Source organism: Homo sapiens, chromosome 7, assembly GCF_000001405.40.
Source record: "Homo sapiens chromosome 7, GRCh38.p14 Primary Assembly".
Lineage (NCBI taxonomy): Eukaryota > Metazoa > Chordata > Mammalia > Primates > Hominidae > Homo > Homo sapiens.
In genome coordinates, this window is record NC_000007.14 from 23,376,634 (window position 1) to 23,404,593 (window position 27,960).

The 27,960-nt window shown below is 41.0% G+C and overlaps 1 protein-coding gene and 1 non-coding gene across 8 annotated transcripts in view; one reads left to right on the forward strand and one right to left on the reverse strand.

The window, feature by feature from the left end:
• IGF2BP3 (insulin like growth factor 2 mRNA binding protein 3) overlaps positions 1-27,960 on the reverse strand; it is a 160,283-nt gene that overhangs the window by 66,425 nt on the left and 65,898 nt on the right. For 3 of the 7 annotated variants that reach the window (XM_011515089.3, XM_011515092.3, XM_011515093.3), the window contains one exon: positions 25,938-25,952. The exons of the other annotated variants lie outside the window; for them this stretch is intronic. In XM_011515089.3, coding sequence (XP_011513391.1) covers positions 25,938-25,952 — 15 coding nt within the window. The remainder of the gene's footprint in view (positions 1-25,937; positions 25,953-27,960) is intronic. 7 annotated transcript variants of the gene reach the window in all.
• On the forward strand, positions 19,813-19,883 carry SNORD65C (small nucleolar RNA, C/D box 65C). The gene has a single exon (NR_145734.1). It is a non-coding gene; the product is annotated as a small nucleolar RNA, C/D box 65C (small nucleolar RNA).

Genomic DNA, 27,960 nt, shown 5'->3' on the forward strand with positions numbered 1-27,960 from the left:
AGGCAGGCGGATCGCTTGAGTCCAGCAATTCAAGACCATTTTGGGCAACATGGCAAGACCCCATCTCTACAAAAAATACAAAAAATTACCTGGGAATGGTGGTGCATGCCTGTAGTCCCAGCTACACGACAGGCTGAGGCAGGAGGTTGGCTTGGCCCAGAAGGCGGAGGCTGCAATGAGCCAAGATCAGCGTGGGCAACACAGCGAAACCTGTCTCAAAGACCAAAATTAACTAACTAAATAAAAAAACCTTGAAAGATTGCTAATCTTTGACCTGCTAATTTTATTTCTGTTCAATTGTCACTAAAGAAATCAGCAGGAATGTGGGTGTAAATTCATCCACAGATATGTTCACAACTGTGGTAATGGTTAAACATGAGGAATGGTTAAGTAAATTACCAGTTACACATAGAACAGAAAAAACATCCATTATAAACTTAAGGAGTCCAATTACATAATGTTTATGACAAAATTTAAAAAAAAAACTGTGCTAAAAAGAAAAGAACAAAAAAATAAAACCTTTGTGCTTCAAAGAACACTATCAAGAAAGTGCAAAGACATAGATAATGGGAGAAAATATTTGCAAATCATATATCTGATAAGGGACTTACATCTAGCATATACAAAGAACTCTTAAAACTCAACACTAAAAGGCCAAATAACCCATTTTTTTATGCAGAGGAAGTGAATAGACATTTCCTCAAAGAAGATATACAGATGACTAATAAGCACATGAAACAATGCTCGACATCATTAGTCAGTAGGGTAACAGAAATCAAACTAAAGTGACTTATCGCTTCACACCCACTAGGATGGCTATAATTGAAAAGACAAATAATAACAAGTGTTTAGGCAAAGGATATAGGGAAACTGGAACCCTCAGACATCGTTGGTGGGAATGTAAAATGGTACAGCCTCTTTGGAAAACTGTCTGGTTGTTCTTCAAAAAGTTACCATATGATCTAGCAATTCCATTCCTGGGTATACACCCAAAAGAACTGAAAATCTATGTTTACACAAAAACATGTACACCAGTGTTCAGAGCAGCATCATTCAATGGAAACAACCTAAATGTCCATCAGCTGCTGGATGGATAAACAGTAAGTGGTATATTCACACAATAATTATTACCCAGCCATAAAAAGGAATGAAGTACCTACTAAAATCTGGCTGCACCTTGAAAATATTATGCTAAGTGAAGGAAGCCAGACATAAAAGGCCACATATATATGATTCCTTTTATATTAAATGTCCACAATAGGCAAAGCTAGAGACTCAGAAAGTAGATTAGTGGTTTCTAGGGCCTGGGAGGAGACTGGAAGATAGGAGGGGCAAGTGACTGTTAATGGCTATAGGGTTACTTTTGGGAGTAATTAAAATGTCTTAAGATTAGTGGTGATACTTCCAAACCTTTAGACTATACTAAAAACCACTGAATTGTATGCTTCAGAAAGGTGAATTTTATGACATCAAATATAGTTCGATTTTTAAAAAAATTAAAAATGTTTAAAACAGGATATAAAATTATACATGCAAGACCCAACGATGTTGAAAAATGCCTAATCATTAAACTGAACTATTAGTCACGGAATAATGTTGCCATTGGGAGAAAGACTTTTTCTTTTCACTTTTCAAGTTTTCTACAAGGAGTATATAATTTTAGAATCAGGAAGAAAATGAAAACAAATATCAAATCTGAATTACACTGGCCTTTAGATAGTTTTCAAAAAAAAAAAAATGCCAGGAAAATAGACATTTCTCTTCTTGGTTTTTTTTTGAGACAGAGTCTCGCTCTGTCTCCCAGGCTGGAGTGTAGTGGTATGATCTTGGCTCACTGTAACCTCTGCCTCCCAGGTTCAAGCAATTCTCCTGTTTCAGCCTCCTAAGTAGCTGGGATTATGGGCGTGCACCACCATGCCAGGCTAATTTTTGCTTGTTTTTTTTTTTTTTTTTTTTTTTGAGACAGAGTCTCGCTCTGTCGCCAGGCTGGAGTGCAGTGGCATGATCTTGGCTTACTGCCACCTCCGCCTCCCAGGTTCAAGCCATTCTCCTGCCTCAGCCTCCCGAGTAGCTGGGACTACAGGTGCACGCCACCATGCCCAGCTAATTTTTGTATTTTTAGTAGAGACGGGGTTTCACCATGTTGGCCAGGATGGTCTCAATCTCTTGACCTCGTGATTCACCCACCATGGCCTCCCAAAGTGCTGGGATTACAGGTGTGAGCCACCGTGCCTGGCCTTCTCTTCTATTCGTAAGGCTCCCCCGGAAGAGTACTGGAGAAACACAATTGAATGAGCAGAACCAAATGTATGAATTATTTGGAGACCAAGCAGAGGAAAAAAAGATGCTTACCACACCAACTCATTGTGGCATATTGAACACACTGCTAGGACAAGGTCAGAGTTCTATGGAAGAAAGCGGACTAGTGGAGTCCCTCCCTCCATTAGCATTTGTTTCCTATGATGGACATGTGTTTCATAATAAGTTCAGCTGCTTTTGAACAATGGGTGGACAAATTATCAGTGTTACAAATGTCTTTGAAATTTTTTCCTTTTGAAATTTATTGGTGGGGTGGAGCAGGTAGTTCTACAAGGCAAACCAAGGTTTCCCCACACCCACTGTTGCTCTGTCTCAGCTAGTGTGTATTCAAGATAAAGGCATTTTTTGATCCCAGCCATGTTCTCTTATATCTGCTGTAGTTAAAAAACTGCTTAAGTCCACAAGTACTGCTTTTGGTCCAGAATTCTATTAATCCAACTTTTCACTCAGATCCTACCCCTCAGATGTGATTCCACTTCATGTTGTTTAGAAAATATTTGGGTACCAATTTGGATAGCACCTATTGCGAATGAACTGGGACTAGAAGCAGGCATTCTCAAGTAATTTTAAAGGTTTTAATGAGTAACAGGGGTCCATTAATAATCAAGGAGAAGTTATGGTTAGCAGAAGACAGTTCAGTTAATGGCAAATCTTTTAGGAAATCAATTCTATAAAACAGTAAATTGCCCTCACAGAAGCTCTATTCACCAACCAAGTTCACCTGGAGTTTAAAGATACTACAAAACAAAATCTCAATTTTCTAGTCTTCAAACTGCTCCTCCCCATGTGCCTGCTTCTGTCCTCAACAGCAGGATTCCAGAGTTGTGTCTGCAACTCGCCACTCCCAGTCCATACTTGGTTTGGAACCTATATGCTCTTATAGCTTATATTTGGTCCCTACAAAATATACATCCATGCACTGGCTATACACGGGGCAATTCCATGCATCTCTTATTGTTAACGAGTGAAGTCTTACACAGGTGCACTTGAGAGGTCAAGCCATGGTCAGCTAACTGGTGAGAGGTCAGGGGATGCAGAGAATTTGAATGTCAACTTCTAAGATGGGTTGGGAAAGTCGTAACTTGGTAATGTCTTTAAATATAAAAAGGCTATTTCAAAATTAATGTTCAGCCGTGAATACAAAAGAATACCCACTGCACTGTGAATTTTGAGGTAAAAACCGTGGAGACTGCCCACTATGCCTCTTTTTTTTTTTTTTTTTTTTTTTTGAGATGGAGTCTCGCTCTGTTGCCCAGGCTGGAGAGCAGTGGCACGATCTCAGCTCACTGCAACCTCCGCCTCCCGGGTTCACGCCATTCTCCTGCCTCAGCCTCCCGAGTACTAGGACTACAAGTGCCTGCCACCGTGCCCAGCTAATTTTTTGTATTTTTTAGTAGAGACGGGGTTTCACTGTGCTAGCCAGGATGGTCTCGATCTCCTGACCTCGTGATCCATCCGCTTCGGCCTCCCAAAGTGCTGGGGTTACAGGCATGAGCCACCGTGCCCGGCCTACTGCCCACCATGCTTCTTGGCCGATGAGTGGCATCCATGCAATTTAATATGGTTCAAGACTGTCATACATTACTCTCATCCACTCCCAACTGATTCCCTACTAACTACCTTTAAACTAGAACACACTATGTCTTCTTACTTCTAGGACACAATCCCTGATCACCCCAGTCTTGGTTAACTCCCTGTACTGGGATGAATAGCGCCCTTTAAAAATTCACCAGTACCTCTGAATATAGCTCTAATCCAATGACTAATATCCTTTTAAGAGGGAAATTTGGACGGACACACACAGGGAGAACACAACGTGACTACAAAGGCAGAGACTGGGATGATGCAGCTACAAGCCAAGGAACAGCAAAGATTGGGCACAGCCACTAGAGGCTAGGAGGAAGTCTTGCCAGCACCCGATGGCAGACTTCTGGTTTCCAGAACTAGGTTTTAAGCTTCCCAGTTTGTGGAAATTAGTTACAGCAGCCCTGATAAATTAATACACCTCTCTCCCATCTTCCATAGTAAGCACCCACCTCCAACCTAACCCAGGGGCTTGTTTTTACTGTGGAAGGCCATTCACTTGTCCATGTCTAAATCAGACTCAACTTCACAGCTGTATCTAGAACAGGCCCTAGCACAGAGCTATAGACTTTGGGACTCCCACACAGCAATGGAGAAATCCCTCCTCCCAGAAGTCTCTATATCCACACAGTAATCAGCCACCAAACACACTGGATTCTTCACACACATTATTCCACTTAGTCATCTGAACAATCTTCAAAGGCAGATATTAACCCTGTTTTCAAGATGCAAAAATTGAGTTTCAAAGAGGAAAGGCCACATGCCCAGCGGGACAGGAAATACGAGAAGAGTCAGGATGTGAACCCACACTACGTGACTCTAAAGTCAGTGCTCAATAGGCTACACCCGTTTCTCAAAAAGTCACCACCTTGTAAGGAAAATGATTCTTCAAAAGCTCTTCATACCAGCAAGCACAGAAAGTTGATAAATTTTGAAGCTGGTTGACAGGTACATGAGGATTTATTATATACTCTCTACTTGTATATGCTTATATGTTCATTAAAGTGATGGCTGATTTTAAAATTTTAAGTTAAATTTTAATTTTTTTTTTAGATGGAGTCTCACTGTGTCACCCAGGCTGCAGTGCAGTGGCATGACCTCATCTCACTGCAACCTCCACCTCCCAGGTTCAAGCAATTCTCCTGCCTCGGTCTCCTGAGTAGCTGGAATTACAGGCACGTACCACCACGCCCAGCTAATTTTTGTATTTTTAGTAGAGATGGGGTTTTGCCATGTTGGCAGGGCTGGTCTCGAACTCCAGACTTCAAATGATCCACCCACCTCGGTCGGCCTCCCAAAGTGCTGGGATTACAGGCTTGAGCCAATGCACCCGGCCTTAAAACTTAATTTTTAACGTCAAAGTCCAAAGTTTAAAATTAACAGTAATCACTGGGCAAAGATGTAACATTTGCACTGTTCATTAAAATGCCACTATGTGACCTGGTGCAGTGGCTCACACCTGTAATCCCAGCACCTTGGGAGGCTGAGGCGGGAGAATCACTCAAGCTCAGGAGACTAGCCTGGGCAACATAGGAAGACCCCATCTTTACAAAAAATAAATTAGCCAGGTGTGGTGACACACCCCTGTGGTCCCAGCTATTCAGGAGGCCGAGGTGGGAGGATCACTTGAGCCCAGGAGGTTGAGGCTGCAGTGAGCCGTGGTTGCAGCACTGTACTCCTGCCTGGGCAACAGAGATGCTGTTTTAAAAAAACAAAAAACAAAAAACTTCACTATGTAATGGGCACTACACAGGTTATTATCTCTGAATACAACAAAACAGGTTGGCAGGATAGCAACTCCTGCATCTTTCAGAAAACACTGTAGTTTGAGTAAAATGAAATTTGATCTTACCAGGTTTTTTTTTTTCCAAGATAAAGTTTCCTAGGATTTCAACTGTATCGTAAGAGAAATATTCTCTCATTGTTTAACATATTTTATAGACAGAAGCAGTAAAATTGCTAAAAACAAATTCAAGCACTACATCTGTCAGGATTTTAATCATGACCAAAAGTTCAGCTAAATACAAATTCACTTATATCACAATCAGTGCCTCATCTGCCATCTCAATAACTATCCTCCTACCATTAATTTTTATCCAATTGCTATACACCTTATGGTAAAACAAAAATGGCCTTGCCCATTAGTGACACCTCAGACAAGTAAGTATAAAGATCAAAATTCTAGAAGCCCATAACAAACTCAATACTTAAGCAAGGCTGGGTGTGGTAGCTCATGTCTGTAAATCCCAGTGCTTTGAGAGGCCAACGCAGGGGTGGAGGGGTAAGGGAGGGTAGAGATTTGCTGGAGCCTAGGAGTTTGAGACCATCCTGGGCAATACAGAAAAACCTAGCTCTACCAAAAAAAAAAAAAAAAAAAAAAAAATCAATCAGCTAGGTGCAGTGGCTTGCACCTACAGATGCAGCTTCTTGGGAGGCTGAGGCAGGAGGATCATTTGAGCCCAGGAAATAGAGGTGAGCTATGATGGCGCCATTGCACTCCAGCCTGGGTGACAGAGCGAGACTCTGTCTCAAAACAAACAAACAAACACACCTAAGCAAAGCCATGTGTGGAAACAATATAACTACATAGTATTAAAGACTAGTTTATCAAAATAATCTAATTATTTATTAAATACAGGGAATAGTGATGGAAGTGTAGCGCAAAAATCAGGACACGTAGGCTGATGGATTTAGATGTTTACATGCAGGCTAACAAGCAAGTATGTGAGTAACTTTTACAACTCAGTAATAAAGACAAATAATCCATTAACAGATTGGAAAAATGTCTACTCAGATTATTTGTCTAAGAAGATATACTACAAATGCTCAATAAACACATGAAAAGATGCTTGATATCATTAGTCATCAGGCAAATGCAGACGAAAACCACAAGAGGATACCACTTTACACCCAGTAGGCTATAATCAAAAAGTCAGATCATACCAAGTGTTTGCAAAGAAAATGAAGAGATTAGAACCATCTTATACCGCTGGCAAGAATGTAAAATGGTGCAGCCACTTTGGATAACAGTCTGGCAATTTCTCAAAATGTTAAAACATAAAGTTACTATGTGACTCTGCAAGTGAACTCCTAGAAACATACCCAAGAAAAATGAAAACACATGTTCACACAAGAAATCGTACATTAATGTACATAGAAGCATTACTATAGCCAAAAAGTGGAAACAACCAAAATGTCCATGGACTGACGAACGGATAAACAACGTGGTATATTTATGCAGTGGAGTATTACTCAGCAATAAAAAGAGTGAAGTCTGGAGCCGGGCGCGGTGGCTCACACCTGTAATTCCAGCACTTTGGGAGGCCGAGGCGGGCAGATCATGAGGTCAGGAGATCGAGACCATCCTGGCTAACACGGTGAGACCCCATCTCTACTAAAAATACAAAAACTTAGTCGGGCGTGGTGGTGGGCGCCTGTAGTCCCAGCTACTCGGGAGGCTGAGGCAGGACAATGGCATGAACCTGGGAGGAAGAGGTTGCAGTGAGCCGAGATTGTGCCACTGCACTCCAGCCTGGGCGACAGAGCAAGACTCCATCTCAAAAAAAAAAAAAAAAAAAAAGAATAAAAGTCTGGATACAGGCAACAACATTGAAGAACCTTGTAAACACTTTCCTAAGTGAAAGAAGCCAGACACAAAAGACCACATATTATATGACTGCATTTATATGAAATGCACAGAATAGGGAAATATAGAAAGATTAGCAGATGCTTAGGACTAAGTGGGGTGGGGTGATAGGGGTTCAGTGGGGGGAAAGAACAAGAGAGCAATATCTGAAGGGTGCAGAATTTGAGGTGACAAAAATATTCTAAAATTAATTGTGGTAGTATGTATTTGTGAATACACTAAAAACCACTGATTTGTACACTTTAAATGGGTGAATTGTATGGTATTTAAATTGTATCTCAAAGCAGTTTAACAAAGTCCTATTTATAAGAATGAGACTGGAAACAATTTATACAACCCCAACAAAAGATATATTAGTCTTTTCCAATTATGCAGCCCTTTAAAAAGAATGGCCATAAATGGATCTTTATAAAACAACCTGGTAGGCACTGGGCGAGGTGGCTCATACTGTAATCCCAGCACTTTGGGGAGGCAGAGGCAGGCAGGTTACTTGAACCCAGGAGTTCAAGACCAGCCTGGGCAACATGGCAAAACCCCGTCTCTACAAAAAATACAAAAATTAGCTGGGTGTGGTGGTGCGTGCCTGTGGTTCCACCTACTCAGGAGGGTGAGGTGGGAGGATCACTTGAGCCTCAGAGGCAAAGGTTGTAGTGAGCCAGGATCGTAACACTGTACTCCGGCCTGGGTGACAGAGTGAGACTATCTCAAAACAAAACAAAACAAAACAAAAATATCCTACCTGGTAGGTTAGGTGTATTAAATGAATTTTCAACTTACAATATTTTCAACTTATAATGGGATTATCAGGACCATAACCCCATTATAAGTTGATAAGCCATCTGTAAAATCAAACATTAATGCCTTTCTTATAGAAATTAAATTTTGGCAGTAACCAAATAGTATCTGGGAGTTTCTCTTTATAGAAGTGTTTCAATTAATAAATGAAAGAATAATAGAATTGGAAAATGACCTTTTTGCCTCCCTTTATGAAATAATGGAGCTCTCAAATCTATGGCTGCTAACATTACAAAAAGAGAAAACCAAGTATGTACTTCCTGACAGAAGTCTGTACTACCATCTATGAAGTATTCTTGCTTAAAGAGAAAGAGGGGAAGTGGAAGGGAGGGAGAAAGAAAGTGAATCTGAATATGCCCAGATCTACTGTGGTTCTCAATCTTGGCAGCACAGTACAATCACCTGAGGAGCTAAAAATACTGATGCCTGGATCCTAAGACTAGAAATTCAAATTAGTATGAGACATAGCCTGGACATTAGAATTTTTAAAATTTAAGGTTGAGATCACTGCTCTAAATCTAACCACCGATTCACAAGAATTCAGAAGACTGAGGAACATGTACTGTACTTCAAGGATGAAGTCAGCCAACCTAAACATGACAGGATAAAAGAGTTTCTTCAACCAATGGGGTAGGGGGTGGGGGGAAGATAAAAAAAGGAATGGGAACCTAAAAGTCAAGGGACTTAAATCGACTAACTGCAAAATATAAACCTCATTTGGATTCCCCCTACCGCCCATCTATTTTTATTTTTTTATTATTTTTTTTTTTAGAAAGAGAGACAGGGTCTCACCACATTGCCCAAAGCTGGTCTCAAATGCCTGGGATGAAGCAGTTGTCTTGCCTCTGCTTCCCAAAGTGCTGGGATTACAGGCATGAGCCACCACATCCAGCCTATTTGGATCCTAATACAATTTTTCAAATGTGAACCAACTAAGATATTTGAACAGACTTCATGGTTTATGAGAATTTTTTATATGTGATGATATTGATTTTTTTAAGCCCATATCTTTTAGAGATACATGCTGAAATAATTTCTAATGAAATTACTTATCTAAGATTTGTTTCAAATTATCTGATAGAGAGAGGTGGGATAGATATAGAGAAAATGAGATTGGCCTTAAGCTGATAATTGAAGTTAGGGGATAGGTACATGGGGAGATTTATTATACTATTCTCTCTACATTTGTAAATGCTTAAAAATTATCCATTTCATAAAGTTTTTAAGATGTGAAATATTGGCCAGGCGTGCTGGCTCACACCTCTAATCCCAGCCCTTTGGGAGGCCAAGGCAGATGGAGTGCCTGAGCCATTCTCCAATAAAAGGAACCAAAGCTCCTTAGACAAATAGCTATTTCAAGGACTGAAGCAGCAATTCTACAAGATAATCCTGAAATATCTTGTAGTGCCAGAAAGTACGTACTCAAAAAGAAAAAACCAATCGCAACCAACCAACAAAAAACCACCACACACAGAAACACACAATGATGGAGTGACCAAAGGGACACAGGAGCCCCCAACAGCCAAAGCTGGAACATCAGAACAGCAAAATAGTTAAAGTAGTATTAGACTATAGCTCAGAGTACAAAATAAATATCCACAAGCCAAATGACTGAACAAATAGGGAAGATTGAACAGATCTCCAAGGAGAGAAATTCCAAATAATTTATGTAGACGGTCCACCCTCAAGGAGATAGAGCGTAATTCTCCACTACTTAAGTACGGGTTGTGCAAAGTATTGGCAGGGAGGGGTGGTGGTGCAAACTAACAAATACTATTTCATCCAGGTGATCAAGGTTAACATCAGTGGGCTGGGCATGCTGGCTCACACCCATAATCCCAGCACTTTGGAGGCCAAGGCAGGTGGATCACCTGAGGTCAGGAGTTCGAGACCAGCCTGGCCAATATGGTGAAACCCCATCTCTCCTAAAAATACAAAAATTAAACAGGCATGGTGGCAAGTACCTGTAATCCCAGCTACTGGGGAGGCTGAGGCAGGAGAATTGCTTGAACCTGGGAGGTGGAGGTTGCAGTGAGCAGAGATCACGTCACTGCACTCCTGCCTAGCAACACGGCAAGACTCTGTCAAAAAAAAAAAAAAGAAAGAAAGAAAGAAAAAGGAAGGAAGGAAGGTAGGTAGGTTGGTTGGTTAACATCAACATCAGTGGTAAGTCATATTGCTTGTATGTGCCCTTGATATAATGAGAATGACATTTTATCTGAAGTCTTCCTCCTAGAAAGTCCATAAACCCAGTCTAATAATGGGAAAAACTTCACACAAGTTCCAACTGAGGGTCATTTGACAAAATACCTGATCAATATTCCTGAAAACTGTCCAGATCATCAATAAGAAGGAGAGTTTAGGAAACTGTCACAGTCAGTCAAGAGAAGCCTAAGGAAACATGACAATGAAATAGTGTCCCAGACAGGATCATGGAACAGATAAAGGATATTAGGTAAGAACTAAGGAAATCTGAGTAACAATATGGAATTTGGTTTACTATAAACCATGAAATAATAATTTGGTTCTTTAATTGTGACAAATGTGCCATACTCAAGTATTAATGTTAATAACAGAGAAGACTGGGTCTAGGGTGTGTGGGAACTCTACACTATCTGTACTACTTCCCTGTAAACCTATGGTTATTCTACAATTTGTTTTAAATTATCTGATTTAAATTATCTGATTTTAAAAAAGGAACAAAGCACTGAAAACCTGCTACAATACCCATGAACACTGAGAGCATTATACTAAGAGAAAGAAGCCACTTGGTATGTGAATATCTCAATAAAGTTATTATAAACACACACACATACTCACACAATGAGATACTACACACCTATGGCAAGGATGCAGAGCAATTTTAGAATGGCTAATATTAAACCACCAAGTGTTGTCAAGGACTGGACCTGCTGGTGAGAACATAAAGTGGCACAACTACTATGGAAAAGTTTAGAATTTTTTTTTTCTTTTTTTTGAGATGGAGTCTCGCTCTGTTGCCCAGGCTGGATGAAGTGCAGTGGTGTGATCTCAGCTCACTGCAAGCTCCGCCTCCCGGGTTCACGCCATTCTCCTGCCTCAGCCTCCCGAGTAGCTGGGACTACAGGTGCCCGACACCACGCCCGGCTAATTTTTTGTTTTAGTAGAGGCGGGGTTTCACCGTGTTAGCCAGGATGGTCTCAATCTCCTGACCTCAAGATCCACCTGCCTCAGCCTCCCAACGTGCTGGGATTACAGGCTTGAGCCACTGTGCCCGGCCTAGAATTTTTTAAAAACATTAAATATATGATCCAGTTATTCCACCCCTGTGTATTTACCTGAGAGAAATGAATATACCAGGAAGAAAAACTTTCTCCTTTATCAACTTAGGTTCAGTAATTGAGGGCCTACGTATTCAACTGACAATGCACAGATGAACAGGAGGAAAAAACCAAAACTTTTTCATACGCATATGGAAGTGCACAAAAGCAGTACTCTAAACAGCTAAAAAAGGGAGTTTACAAACTCAATTAACCGAGGAAAAAGGATACGGGAGAAAAGGCTTCTATGGGAAAATAAATCGGTTTCAAGGGGAACAGAGATAAATTTTGTCGTAATGTTTGTTTATGCAGATGAGTGGTCTTCTCCATCTTTTTTTTTTTTTTTTTTTTTCCAGTCCAAGAACATTCCCCAAGGGAGGAGATTTTTAGCAGCCTCATTCCCAGAAGTTTCTGCCTTTAGTTAAAGTAAGGAATTTCTGATTAGGCTTCTTTCTGCATCTGTTGAATCTCAAATGTCTTTAGTTTAAAATAATCTTCATACTATCTCTGGGGGTTACAAGTGGGTCCTCACAAAAGCAAACATCCACATAGAGACCTACACATAAATGTTCATAGCACCTTTACCTGTAGTAGTTAAAAACTGGAAACAGCCCAAATGTTCAACAGGTAAACAAGTAAATAGTAGTATATCTACACAACAAACCACTACTCAGCTATGAAAGGGAATAGGCTCTTGACTCACACATCATAGGTAAATCTTAATGGTTTCACATGTGTATATGTATGTTAAAACTTATCAAAACGTGCACTTTAAAGATGTGTTTATGTCCATCATACTTCAATAAAGCTGTTTTTTAAAAAGACCTACTAATTCAACGATTTAAGTTGTTATAAATCAGAACAAAAGTGAGAATTATTCCCTTTTTTTTTTTTTTTTAATTGAGACAGAGTCTCACTCTGTCGCCCAGGCTGGAGTGCAGCGGCACTATCTCGGCTCACTGCAACCTCCATCTCCCAGGTTCAAGTGATTCTCCTGCCTCAGCCTCCTGAGTAGGTGGGATTACAGGCACACGCCACTACACCCGCCTAATTTTTGTATTTTTTAGTAGAGAAGGGGTTTCACCATATTGGCCAAGCTGGTCTCAAACTCGTGACCTGGTGATCTGCCCACCTCAGCCTCCCAAAGTGCTGGGATTTACAGGGGTGAGCCACCATACCCGACTAACTCCCAATGTTTAATGTGTGAAAAGGCTTAAGGTTTAAGTGAGAAAAAAGCAGGAAATTACATGCAATATATTCAGTACTGTTTTTTTTTTTAAATTACAAGACTACACAGATGGGAAAAAGAAATTGGATGATAAATCTTTAATCAACACACTGTAACTGTTTGCCCAAAAAGTGTGAAGAATATCAGACATATACAGTTGGAGAAAAGAAGCCATGAATAGAACTGAGAGTCAAAAATAAATGGTCAGGCTGGGTGTGGTAGCTCATGCTCATAATACCAGCACTTTGGGAGACCAAGTCAGGAGGATCCCTTGAGGTCAAGAGTTCAAGACCAGCCTGGGCAACATAGCGAGATCCCTTCTGTAAAAAAAAAAAAAAAAAAAAAATTAGCTGGGTGTGGTAGTATGCATCTGTAGTCCCAGCTACTTGGGAGACTGGGAGGTCAAGGCTGCAGTGAGCCGTGACTGAGCCAGTACACTCCAGCCTGGGCAACAGAGTGAGACCCTGTCTCTAAAATACACACACACACACCCCTTTGACTATTGGTCAAAGATAGGCAAATATGCCAAGTGAAATAACGATGCTAGTTTTTGCAGACAAAATTGGCTAATATTTTGAATTATGTTAGCATGAAGTATGCTGGGGAGGATATGGAAAAACAATGTCTTGTCCATTAGTGGGGGAAAGTATAAAGCAACATAGAATTTCTATAAAAGTTTTGTTAATATCAAATAGCCTAAAAATTCACTCTGATCTAATTCAATTTGTGTGTATACCTGCATAGAAGTATGAAAGGTAATATGCCAAGATATTTTTGAACTTTACTTTCCAAATTTTATTCAACGAGCCTGTATCACCTATAATGGGGAAGAAGTATATTTAAGTCATTCTTTAACTGAGGCTTCTGAAAAGAAAAAAAAAAATCAGTTTGAAGCCAAAATACCAACTAAACAAGCGTAGATCTGTCCCTTGACTGACCAAGACAAGAAAACAGATGAAGCCACTGAGCTACAGGAAAGCAAAGAGTGCCGCTAGATTAGGGTAAACCACCAGAGCTCGTTAGGAGTAGCTGGTGGGAAGATTCAGACAGCAGGGCAACCCCACTCCAGGACCTCCCACTCTGGCACATGAATGAAATCCCTCACATGCCAGCTAGAATTAAATACAAAACCTGTAACAGCACAACCACCTTTACCCCCTTTTCTCCCTCTTCATAGCTTGTGTATAGGCAGCACAGGAATGCCAAGACCACAACTGTACAGCATACAACTTTCGTTTTTGAAAAGACAGCTAAAAACTTTACAGCTGTTTTTGTCACCTTGGATTTATTGTTGCCTTTTTTTTTTTTTTTTGAGACAGAGTCTCGCTCTGTTGCCCAGGCTGGAGTGCAGTGGCATGATCTCGGCTCAGTGCAACGTCCGCCTCCTGGGTTCAAGCAATTCTCCTGCCTCAGCCTCCTGAGTGGCTGGGATCACAAGCACCCACCACTACGCCAGCTAATTTTTTGTATTTTTAGTAGAGACAGGGTTTAGCCATGTTAGCCAGGGTAGTCTTGAACCCTTGGCCTCAAGTGATCTGCCCGTCTCGGCCTCCCAAAGTGCTGGGATTACAGGCGTGAACCATCGCGCCTGGCTTTTTTTTTTTTTTTTTTTTAAGACAGATTCTTACTCTGTCACCCAGGCTAGAGTGCAGTGGCACGATCTTGGCTCACTGCAACCTCCACCCCCTGGGTTCAAGCGATTCTTGTGCCTCAGCCTCCTGAGTAGCTGGGATTACAGGCGTGTGCCACTACACCCAGCTAATTTTTATATTTTTAGTAGAGACATGGTTTAGCCACATTCGCCAGGCTGGTCTCGAATTCCCGACTTCAAATGATCTGCCTGCCTCAGCCTCCCAAAGTGCTGGGATTACAGGTGTGAGCCACCGTGCCCGGCCTTGTCATTGCCTTTTAAAATCTCAGTTGTAAGGTTACTGACATAGCCACAACCCATCCATGACACTCTCGCTTTCCACGGGTGCAAGGACAGCTTTAACAGCTGTAATGGGTTTAGACACTCAGACTTTCTGATCTATTCCTGGAAGCCAGTGCTGATTAATTTTTAACTTCTTTGGAACTGAGCCCCAAACAAAACATGAAACTGGGACTTATATTACAATGACTAAGGTACTACAAGACATCTACTTAGAATCAAGTATCACCAAAGGCAGAATAACCTGAGAAATGTTTCATCCAAAAGATTGCAAATGAAAAAGTCTTTTTAAAATGATAAAAAGCACTGATCATTGTCTGTAGACAGGCCCAGTACACACCCTAGTTGAATAATTTGTAACACAGAAGGTAGAATGGCAAGATCAAAATGAGTAAGAACTTGAGGCAAGGAGAAGGAATGTTTCTGTTTTTACAAGTGAATGTTCATGAACCACTACTTTTAGGCCTTACTCTTCAATGTATTTAGTTCAAGAAACAATAAGTAAATTGCTAAGCATCTGAAACAAAACTGAAAATCGAACAACCCAGCAAGTGTTATTAATAGCTCTTCTAGGATATTAATGACATAAAAGATAATGCACCCAGATTAAAACACACAATACTGGTGTCACCCGCTACACACCCTAACCAACAGAGCTAACCTACAGAAAGTATTTAAGGTAAGCAGTAAAGAAGGAGAGACTACTCTTCTCTGCATTCATGAATGTTGTAAACTGATGGCCAGTACTGTCCACAGTATGGCAGATGTGGCCAAAATGAGGGCAGAACCATCAGTCCCTTCTTCACTAACCCTAATGAACCAAGACTTCCTCAAGCTTAGCTAAGCCTCAAATGAGAAAGGCAACACTTTCTGCGAACATGTCACAGTGCTGGATAGCACAAAGGCTGACCTCAAGAAAAGGCTGATTCAGTAAGTAGTGCTGTCACAAATGGAAAACCATTTGGAAGAAAAAAAAAAAGACAAGGACAGCTTATCATCATATATATATATATATATACACACACACACATATATATGTATATATATATATACACACATACACACATATGCACATATATATACACACACACATACACACACACACACAAATATACAACTATTAATGATAGTTAACTCTGAATGGTAGGATTTTAAGCCCTTTTTTCTGTTTTCTACAGTGAACACAAACACTTTTTTTTGTTTGTTTTTGGAGACAGGGTCTTGCTGCTCTGACACCCAGGCCACAGTATGATTGCATGATCACGGCTCACTGCAGCCTCGACTTCCCAGGCTCAAGGGATACTCCCACCTCAGCCTCCCAAGTAGCTGGGACTACAGACGTGGGCCACCACGCCTGGCAAATTATTGTACTTTTTTTAAGAGATGGGGTTTTATCATGTTGCCCAGGCTGATCTTGAACTCTTGGGCTCAAGAAATCCTCCCACCTTGGCCTCTCAAAGTACTGTGATTACAGGCATGAGCCACTGTGCCAAAAACATTTCTAATTTAAAAAATTAAAGTGAGTGGCATATAACTCCCAATTGCTATAAGGTGGCCACTCATCAATTTCTTAGGAGTTTCTAGAGGACACTCTGATATCTGACTTCCTTAGGGGACACTCAGCAAGTCTCATTAGCGTCCTTGGAATTAACCCACCTTTGCTTCTGTGATCAAGAGAACTTGCTTTCATCCAACTCAAGATGTCTTCTGCCCGCTGGAGTGGCCTTCCAGAAGGACCCTTTACCTACAGAACTGTGCTATCACCTCACCAATGTTCACTCAGAATGGTCCTTCATGCTAGTACCAGGCAACGTGGTTAAATCAGACAACTCGTTCACAAAAGCCTCCCTCCCATACATACCTTGTAACATGTAAATCAATAACAAGTTATTATTAATAACTAAAAGCTAGTTCAATCGTAACCGATGATCATCTCATGCCTAAGGAATACGGGCATGTGATCTTCTATTCACTGAACAAATGTCAACAAATGTCAAGGACAGCTAAGATCCCACCCTGCAATAAGCACAGTTTAGACCTGTAGCAAGTACTATGCTCAATTCTGAACCCTACTCTAAGGGGCTCGGAAACCGTGCCCCCAAAGGGAAACAGGCTGAGAGGGGTCAGTGGAGGGGAATCTGGGAGGGACAGATGAGTGGTCTGGAGAGTTTCTCAGACGATGAACCATTTGAATGTGCTCTCTTCACACATTGGGAGAATTTTTATATTCTCAAAGGAGCTAAAATAAACATGGAAGTTGAAATGAACAGGCTCTTAAAAGATCATCTAGCCCAAGGGGGGCAATCATGTTCATTTTGCATGCCAACTGCAAACAACTGGCTGTGATTATCCACAGCCTGTGTGAGAAGGATTCTGCGGCCTAATCTAGGATCAGTGAGAAGAGTCTCTCCTTGAGAGTCCCTCCTGCTGCGGAAGGAAGGAGGCTGAACAAGTACCATGGATTCCCAGCAGTGACCTTCACCAATGGACTGGATACTTAAGAGGCCAGTCGAGTTATTAGGAGGGTACACAAATCCATAATGCTTTCAAGACTTTCTGATAAGGCAAATAAACAGTAATTCCTACACTTGTGTATACCATAATCTTTCAGACAGGTATAGGGGTTGTGTGATTAAAAAAAAAATTATTAGTGTTATAGGTTTCTAAAGGTAATCTAGTTCACACAACAAGGTCTTTCAGCTACAGACACACCTGCACAACTTAAAAAATCTACTTCCCAAAATGATAACGCTATTTATAATCAGCAAGACTTTTTAACACATCTACTTTGGCAGGCCAGGGCAAGCTAAGTGTATAAGCCCAGGAGTTGGAGACCGGCCTGAACAACATGGCGAAACCCTGTCTCTATAAAAATTACAAAATTTAGCCAGGTGTGGTGGCACGTACCTGTAGTCCCAGCTACTCGGGAAGCTGAGGTAGCAGGATCGCTTCAGCCTGGAAGGTCGAGGCTGCAGTGAGCTATGATCATGCCACTGCACTCCAGCCTGGGTGACAGAGGGAGACTCTGTCTCCCCTGCGCCTACCCTCCCCCAAAACAACAACAAACCATGAGAGAAAAATAAAGCCAGGAAAAATTAAGACTGAAAATAAATTGGTATGAAGTTAGTGGTGAAGTTAAATATTCTAACAATATATAGTAGAGGTGACCCTTAAACTCCGTAGCAGACAACACCAAGGCAAACACAGTCAGTGAGAAATTATGCAGGCTCCATCATGCGCTACAAAGCTGTCTCTGGTAGCCAAGGGAAGCATATAAGCAAAGGTCCTGTTTTCAAACATTAATTAAACAGCACGTCAGAATAGAATTCCTACCATACAGAAACAAAGCTGTGACAAAAGAAAGGTTTGCTTGTTTAGTTAAGCAAGAAAGAAATTAACACAATGAAGCCATGTCCTTTATGGGAAAGATACCATGTAAATTATCTGAAGTCAGAAATGTTTGTTCAGCTGGGCAACTTCAAGTAGTGGTAAACAATAATGGAATACTGGAAGTGCACAGAACATGCTCAGAATTGATGGGCATCAGATTTGCTGAGAAAGAAGAACATGGAGTAATGATGGGTGTAAGCTCAGAGGAGCTTAGCATTAATCCACCCTAATGAGGCTGGCATCTGGAGGCACAGCCTGCTCAATTTCACAGCCATAAGGAGCAGCCCTCACTGATGTTTCTGACTTCTTTGTGACTCATTTTTTCAACACTAAAGTCTGAGGTTTTCCTTAAAGTTTTTTTAATAAGAAATTAAACTTTCCCCAAAATAGAAAGCTGAGTATTATGATCAACTACTATTAGAAAGCCTAACCAAAACAACCTGAACTATTTAAAGCAAGTAACCAGATCAAGATAAAACACCCGCAATATACTTTCCAAAACATCTGATCCCTGCTAGTGAAGGGCCAACACAGCTGGCACCAAGATTTCCATTTGCCACCACCAAAAAATAAAAAACAACACAAAGAAACAAAAAAACGAAAACATTTGTAAGAACTTCAGTGATTTCTGCATCAATAAAACTCAATGACCTCGGGCCAAGTGCAGTGGCTGACACCTATAATCCCAGCACTTTGGGAGGCTGAGGTGGGAGGACAGCTTGAGCCCAGGAATTTGAGACCAGCCTGGGCAATATGGCGAGACCCCATCTCTACCCCCACCCCCCCAAAAAAAGAAAAAAATTAACTGAAAAACCAACAGGCCAGGCACAGTGTTTCACGCATGTAATCCCAGCATTTTGGGAGGCTGAGGCAGGTGAATCACTTGAGGTCAGGAGTTCGTGACCAGCCTGGCCAACATGGTAAAACCCTGTCTTTACTAAAAATACAACAATTAGCTGGGCGTGGTGACAGGTGCCTGTAATCCCAGCTACTCGGGAGGCTGAGGCAGGAGAACTGCTTGAACCTGGGAGGCAGAGGTTGCAGTGAGCTGAGATCACATCACTGCACTCCAGCCTGGGCAACAGAGCGAGACTCCATCTCAAAAAAAGAAGAAAATAACAAAAATACAAACCTCAATGACCCGAGACAACAAATTTATATCCTATTTTCTTATACCCATCCCCCTACCCCACCCCTACACAAAAAAATCCAGTGAGTTTTTTTTTTTTTTTTTAACCCAATAACCCATTACAGAGTTGAAAAAATTCCCAACCAATACACTTTCAGTGAGTGAATACTGACCAGCAAGTCCACACCAGCCATTGTTCTGGGTCTTTGATAACATGGGAGGACAGAGCCCTACCCACCTTAGCTCTGGTGGGAGAAACAGACACAAGTCATAAGACAATTAAATATAAAGTGCTGGCTTGGGGGTAGGGGGCAGGGAGGGGTGCACACCTATAGCCCCAGCACTTTGGGAGGCAAAGGAGGGAGGATCACTTTAGCCTAGGAGTTTGATGCAGCAGTCAGCTATGATCTCACCACTGCACTGGGCAACAGAGAAGACTCTGACTTCTGAAATATGTACTTACACACACACACACACACACAATGCTAAGTCAAATAATGAAATCACCCAAAATAGCTGGAATTACTGGCAGATTGTGTAGCAATAAACCTAGTTTTCTGAAGAAAAAAAAAATACATGAGATAATGCAAGCCTACATGTTAAGTGCTACCATAGTGTTAAGTATGGGAGAAATACAGGAGAGATGTCTAATCCAAGCGTGGTAGGAATGATGTCTAAATTGAGGGCTAAATAATTGGTGAGAATAAAGAAAGATGGAAAGGATCCAGAACAAAATAAGACTGTTGGGGGGGAAAAAAAAGAGCAAATGGATTCTTGGCAAAGAAAATGTATGCAAAAAGTCCTGAAGCTAAGAGAAGGATGGGGTTGAGGAAGTAAAGTACTTCACAGTACTGGAGCACACAGCATGTGAATTTCAGCCAAAGGACAAATGCCTCCAAAAAAAGTTAATTCACAGTGCAGCAGGGCGAGGCACTTGTCTTATTCGCTGGTTCTCACATTGACCCTGAAAGGACTTTTTTTTGTTAATCCCATTTTCACAGATGGGAAAGGGACTCTGTATGGTTGTCACTTTTATCCAAAGTCTCATAGCCAGTAAGAAGCTGCCCTCAAAGTCCCTACCCTGTCTTCCATTCGACTATTCTGAGGTTCAGACCCAGAAACCCCATACCTCTGCCTTATATTTTAATGAAAAGTATGTCTCCAGGTTTATGTGGAGAATAACCAAGACCTCAGAAACATTTAGTGAAAATCAGAGCTAGAAGGAATCTGTTTTTTTGCGAGTTCAGAGAAGCTGACTTGGATAAGACATCAAAGTTGTCTTGTGCAGCAAATTCTCCTCCGGCACATAGTAGGCACTCTGATAAATTCAAAAAGGCTTCTAAGAAGAGGCAGAAGCAAGGACAGGGAAGGAGCTCAGCTCCACAGCTCAGGGAGGGTGACAGAATGGCCTAAGGCCCAGGAGAGCACCGTGTTGTCAACTGTCAGTGTCAAGCCTGAGACAGGAGCCATGAACTAGCACCATCTCAGCTCTGATGTTGAACTGCAGCCGTCTCCTCTAAGGTCTCAAACTGGCCTTATACCAACACATGCCTCCTTCTATCATCTAACTAGCCATACGCCATGCCTCCTTCAACACCTAACTGGCCTTACACCAACACATGCCTCCTTCTATCTTGTCATCTCATAATAGGAATGCTGCATCCCCTACATGAAATGACAAAATGTATTCTGCATAGAAATCCCTCTAGGTACTGAAGAACTTTATCTTAATGTATTTCACCACTGAGTATTTAGAGTCCCCACTCTCAAGGCTGTGGTCCTATTAGCATTTATTTGACACTTGAGTGCTGATTACACTGGTGGTAAATTGAATAATGGTCCCAAATATATCTACCTCCTAATGCTTAAAAACTGCGAGTGTTACCTTATATGGCAAAAGGGACTTTGAGGGTATAAGTAAGTATCTTGAGGTGGAGATATTATATGGGATTACCCGGGTGAGCCTTATGTAATCATGGATCCTTACAAAAGGGGCGAGAGAGGAGGCAAAGTCAGAGAGAAGACAATCTGAGGACAGAAGCAGAGGCTGAAGTGGTACACTTTGAAAGAGGAAACCATTAGGTATATCTCCAAATGCTATCCCTCCCCCCGCCCCACCCCACAACAGTCCCCAGAGTGTGATGTTCCCCTTCCTGTGTCCATGTGTTCTCATTGTTCAGTTCCCACCTATGAGTGAGAACATGCAGTGGTTGGTTTTTTGTCCTTGCGATAGTTTGCTGAGAATGATGGTTTCCAGTTTCATCCATGTTCCTACAAAGGACATGAACTCATCATTTTTTATGGCTGCATAGTATTCCATGGTGTATATGTGCCACATTTTCTTAATCCAGTCTGTCATTGTTGGACATTTGGGTTGGTTCCAAGTCTTTGCTACTGTTAATAGTGCCACAATAAACATATGTGTGCATGTGTCTTTATAGCAGCATGATTTATAATCCTTTGGGTATATACCCAGTAATGGGATGGCTGGGTCAAATGGTATTTCTAGTTCTAGATCCCTGAGGAATCGCCACACTGACATCCACAATGGTTGAACTAGTTTACAGTCCCACCAACAGTGTAACAGTGTTCCTATTTCTCCACATCCTCTCCAGGACCTGTTGCTTCCTGACTTTTTAATGATTGCCATTTTAACTGGTATGAGATGGTATCTCATTGTGGTTTTGATTTGCATTTCTCTGATGGCCAGTGATGATGAGCATTTTTTCATGTGCTTTTTGGCTGCATAAATGTCTTCTTTTGAGAAGTGTCTGTTCATATCCTTTGCCCACTTTTTGATGGGGTTGTATTTTTCTTGTAAATTTGTTTGAGTTCATTGTAGATTCTGGATATTAGCCCTTTGTCAGATGAGTAGGTTGCAAAAATTTTCTCCCATTTTGTAGGTTGCCTGTTCACTCTGATGGTAGTTTCTTTTGTTGTGCAGAAGCTCTTTAGTTTAATTAGATCCCATTTGTCAATTTTGGCTTTGGTTGCCATTGCTTTTGGTGTTTTAGACATGAAGTCCTTGCCCATGCCTATGTCCTGAATGGTATTGCCTACGTTTTCTTCTAGGGTTTTTATGGTTTTAGGTCTAACATCTAAGTCTTTAATCCATCTTGAATTAATTTTTGTATAAGGTGTAAGGAAGGGATCCAGTTTCAGCTTTCTACATACGGCTGGCCAGTTTTCCCAGCACCATTTATTAAATAGGGAATCCTTTCCCCATTTCTTGTTTTTGTCAGGTTTGTCAAAGATTAGATGGTTGTAGATATGTGGCATTATTTCTGAGGGCTCTGTTCTGTTCCATTGATCTATACCTCTGTTTTGGTACCAAATGCTAAATGACGAGTTAATGGGTGCAGCACACCAACATGGCACATGTATACATATGTAACCTGCACATTGTGCACATGTACCCTAAAACTTAAAGTATAATAATAATAAAATTAAATTAAATTAAAAAAAAAAAAAGAAAGAGGAAACCATGAAAGCCAAGGACTACAGCCAGGCACTAGAACCTGGGAAAGGCAAGCAAACGGATTCTCCCCTAAGACTTCTAGAGGGAGCCAGTTCTCATGACAACCTTGACTTTAACCCACAGAGACTGATTTCAGACTCCTGGCTTCTAGAACAAAAATTAATTTCTGTTGCTTTAAACCACCAAGTTTGTGATTAATTTGTTACAGCAGCATAGGAAACTAATATACCTATTCTTATTTTATGTTAGCAATGTAAATTTTCTATACCATCACTCATATTGAATTGCTCTAAAATAATACACCTCTCCTCCACCTAAAAACAGTGAAGCAATATTGATCAGTAAAACAAAAGCAGAATGTTGACTATCATTAAGGTCGGTAGATGGGGGGTTCAGTATACTATTTTCTCAATGTGTGTATGTTTGAAAACTCCCAAAGTAGAGAGTTTAAAAAGTCACTTTAAAATTCCTAAGAAAGGAATCACATTTCTACACCATCTCCCACTGAGCCATATGAGCCAGTTTTTTTTTCCCCAACATTGGAACAAGTTGTCATATCTTTACTTCAATGCCACACCAGGTCCTTGGCTAGTGGATAAGGCATACATGGTATAAAAAGTTTGCATCCTTAAACATGTTCTCAGTACATCTAAGAGGCACACAGGAGCTGAGCAACTAAAGAAACATTTGTGTTTCCAATATCTTGTTTCTCCAGGATAGTAAATCATGCATTAAAACAATGTGAAAAAGTTCTCCAAAGTATTATATTACTTTTTGCTGATCACAAATAGGCAAATGCATCTAAGATTATCTGATTTCTAATGCAATTCAATTCTGTGAAAGTCTAAAACAAAGTATTAGGTTGGTACAAAAGTAATTGGAGTTTTCACCATTAGAAGAAGTAGTATCTCTAAGCTATATAATAAGCAGGTGGTTTTGGACTTAGAGAGCCACAGCTGACCTTGTCCTGCTCCTCCAGGGTAACATTTTGAGGACAATGCTATCAGAGGTTCTTCATATCTCTGTGTTGGTGTGGCAGCCTAAGTACTGTCTGCCACACCAACATTACAACCAAAAGGGGCCATTCTGACTAAGGCTGACCCAGCCTCAGAAAGCAAGGCACGTGATAAAAGCACATCCTTCAATCTGGCTGTACTTGTTCCACCCACTGAAAATTAAGAAATACTTAGATGCCCAAGAATTTCCATTTCACACGAGAACAACTTCAAAAGCCACCTCATGACTGTGTGCATGGATCCAACCATAAATACCTACACAAGCACACACCAAAGCCAACCATATGCATCGCAGTGTAATGACTGTGTATAAAATGAGTGAGCTGGAAGAGCAGAAGTATTTAAGATGCTGTCAAAACCCTATTTTTCTGAGATGGAGCCTTGCTCTGTGGCCTAGGCTGGAGTGCAGAGGCACGATCTTGGCCCACTGCAGTATCCACCTCCTGGGTTCAAGTAATTCACGTGCCTCAGCCTCCCGAGTAGCTGGGATTACAAGCACGTGCCACCACACAAGGCTAATTTTTGTATTTTTAGTAGAGACGGGGGTTTCACCATGTTGCCCAGGTTGGTCTCAAACTCCTGACCTCAAGTGACCTGCCTGCCTCCCCCAAAGTGCTGGAATTACAGGTGTGAGCTATCACGCCCAGCCCAAAACCCTAATTGTTAAACCATGATTGAAGAAATGGTCTCCTTTTAAAAATTGTAACTTTTCTGCTGATACAGAGTAACTAAAAGTAAGGACACCATCCATATTTAAGATTCAGTCACTGTGGCCGAGTAGTAGGACCCCTTCCCAGCAGTACTTGCCTTCACACAGACCCACCAGAGGAACAGTTGCGGGCCCCCTGCTGAGGGGGTTCACCATCAACATCATGGCTGCCAGCATCATGGAGGCAGCATCATGAACTGCCGGGAGTCTGATAATCCAGGACCCTTCCTGCCTTGTATTAGGAATTGTCTTCCATCATTCAAACTCACAGTACAAAAAATACAGCAGGAAGTCTTCTGAAATTAAGATTTGAAAAGTCACTGCTATGCCAGGCACGGTGGCTCACGCCTGTAATTTCAGTACTTCAGGAGGCCAAGGCAGGTGGATCACCTGAGGTCAGGAGTTCGAGACCAGCCTGGCCATCACGGTGAAACCCTGTCTCTACTAAAAATACAAAAATTAGCTGGGCTTGGTGGCAGTCACCTGTAATCCCAGCTACTTGACAGGCTGAGGCAGGAGAATGGCTTGAACCCAGGAGGTAAAGGTTGCAGTGAGCCAAGATTGCACCACTGCACTCCAGCCTGGGTTACAGAACGAGACTCGTCTCCAAAAAAAAAGTCACTGCTGCCCTAGGGATTGGCATGAAGCAAAATGCAGTCTAGGCCGGGCACGGTGGCTGAAACCTGTAAAGCCTGTAATCCCAGGAATTTGGTTGGCTGAGACAGGTGAATCACCTGAGGTCTTGAGGTCAGGAATTCAAGACCAGCCTGGCCAACATGGCAAAACCCCATCTCTACTAAAATTACGAAAATTAGCCAGGCATGGTGGCGTGTCCCTGAAGTCCCAGCTACTCGGGAGGCTGAGGCATGAGAATCACTTGAACCCAGGAGGCAGAGGCTGCAGTGAGCCGAGATTGCACCACTGCGCTCCAGCCTGGGTGAAAGAACAAGACTCTGTCTCAAAAACAAAAACAAACAAAGAAATGCAGTCTAAGTCCAAAACCACCTGCTTAATACATAGCTCAGAGATATTTTTAGACTTTTAGAGTTGAGTTGTATTAGAAATCAGATCATCTAAGATGGATTTACCTGTATGTGATCAGCAAAAGTAACATATACTTTGCAGAACTTTTGCACACTTGTACTGCATGACTTCCTATCCGTAAGTATATAAAGCTAAGAAGAAATAAACAGCTTGAGTTATGCCTGTTAAACTACTCTGCAAATTTTATCATGGATAAAAAGAGACTGCTGATGGTAAAGGCAGTTAAGTTCATTTCCATCATTAAATGATAATTTTTATAGAAAGTGATACTTATGCAAAACAAAGGAGGTGATGGGAGTAAAACATTTGAGCATTTGGCCAGGAAGAGGGGAACTTACACCTTCCACGGGAAAGTATTTTAGGAACATACCGTCATTTTGGGTGACTGTGGGAAGAAAAAGAGTGAGATGAAGATAGAGACCATATCATGACAAGACAAACTTATAAGTGGAGATTAAGCATTTACAAATTTTTATAGCAGACTGACAAGAATTTTATGTCTGTTGAATCTAATAATAAAAATCAGCTTGTCTTTTGGCTGACTTTAAAATTTCATTGTAATAATTTATTTTCATTGTGTTTTACAAAAAAGTCAGTAATCAATTAGAAATTTAAAAATAACTGGTCCTTCAACACAGCTAAGGAAGGAATGATTTAGAACAGTAATTCTCAATGGAGAAAGCTTCACCCCTTAAGGAAGTGGTTTTAGAAATCTGTGGATCTTTTGGGATTAGGAAAAGAGTCTTTTACTAATATTTGATAGTCACAGACCAGGTATGTCACACATCCTGAAGTGTGCAGTACAGCTTCACACAATAAAGAGAGGTGGCCTCATGTCCTGCACAGCCTTTGAAGGTCCTTGATATTCAGATACAGGGGAAACCCATTTATCTGACCCTATAACCTGACAAAATATTTATTGCTCAGTTTTCATATATACTGCATCTTCCAAAACTGTATCATGTAAATCAAGATACTATTATATTTTGGTCTGCTTATCACTAGAGAAAACCACTAAACTGAGAGCACACAACTTTGCATTGCCTGTATATTATTCCTGTCTCAACACCAGTATTGGTCCACTGAGGATTATTCTACATATGGTACAAGCACTTAGCTATTTCATTATGCCTAAACTCTGATCATGCCTAAGTATTTATGTACTAAATTTTTTTGTATAAATAATTTTTATGTCTCCTTTCTGGTATTACTAGGACATTACATTGATTTTTAAATTATAGATATATATAAGTGGCTATATTTTCTGTGAATTTCACTTCAGGATTGTAATTGGAACATTACATAGGAGGAAATTATAGATCTCAATAAAAACACTGATGAAATTGGTGCTAAAAGTCAAAAATGCGTAAGTGAACTTGCAGGAGATATTAGAAGTCATCCTTATTTCCACGTTTGAGATGACAGAAGAATATACAGTTTAGATACAGTAGCAGCTAAAAAAGGAGGTTCTGCCTAGTTTAAATCCTAATTCAGCCAATGGTAGCTGCAAGACCTTGGCAAGTTTTTCCATTTCCCAATTACTTTGTTGTTTTTAAAAATAAGAATAGCACAATTCCCTTCTATATCTAGGGTTGGCTCTAAGAATATAACAAGAAGAGAATCCATCTAGAGAGGTACTTGGCCAGGCACGGTGACTCACGACTGTAATCCCAACACTTTGGGAGGTCAAGGGAGGAGGATCGCTTAAGCTCAGGAGTTTGAGACCAGCCTGGGCAATGTAGCAAGACCCTGTTTGTAAAACAAAAAAAAAAATTTTTTTTTTTTTAAATTAATGGGGCACAGCGGTATGTGCCTGTAGTCCTAGCTACTCAGGAGGCCAAGGCAGGAGGATTGCTTGAGCCCAGGAAGAGTTTAAGGCTGCAGTGAGTCGTGATCGTGCCACCTGACTCCAGCCTGGGTGACAGAGTCTTGAAAAAATCAAATGGAAAAAAAAAAAAGAGGTTCGCATATTGCTCTGCTCATAATCGACACAACCCACATGTGTGATATTAAGTTACTCTAAAACCCAAAGGCAGAGTACTAAAGAGAAGGAAATGAGCTAAGAATATGAGAGTAGGCATAAAAATGAGTGAAAGATAGACACATCAAATATAGGCCTTCTTTTAAAAAGAAATCTGAAATATCAGTCATTACCATTAGCCAGAGTAAGCTAATTAAACAATTTCAATCTTTGTATATATACCTGGACACATGTGAGAGTCTAGGAGTAGTGGACACAAAACAAGAAAAAAAATCCAGCAAGATGAACACAGAAATCTCTATCTGGGTTGATAGTCAAGCTTTGAAAAGCATCATACACCCTCAATTCAACCAACACTTAACTTACTGAGCACCACCTTTGTCTACCAGATTGGAATAAAAAACTGAGGAAA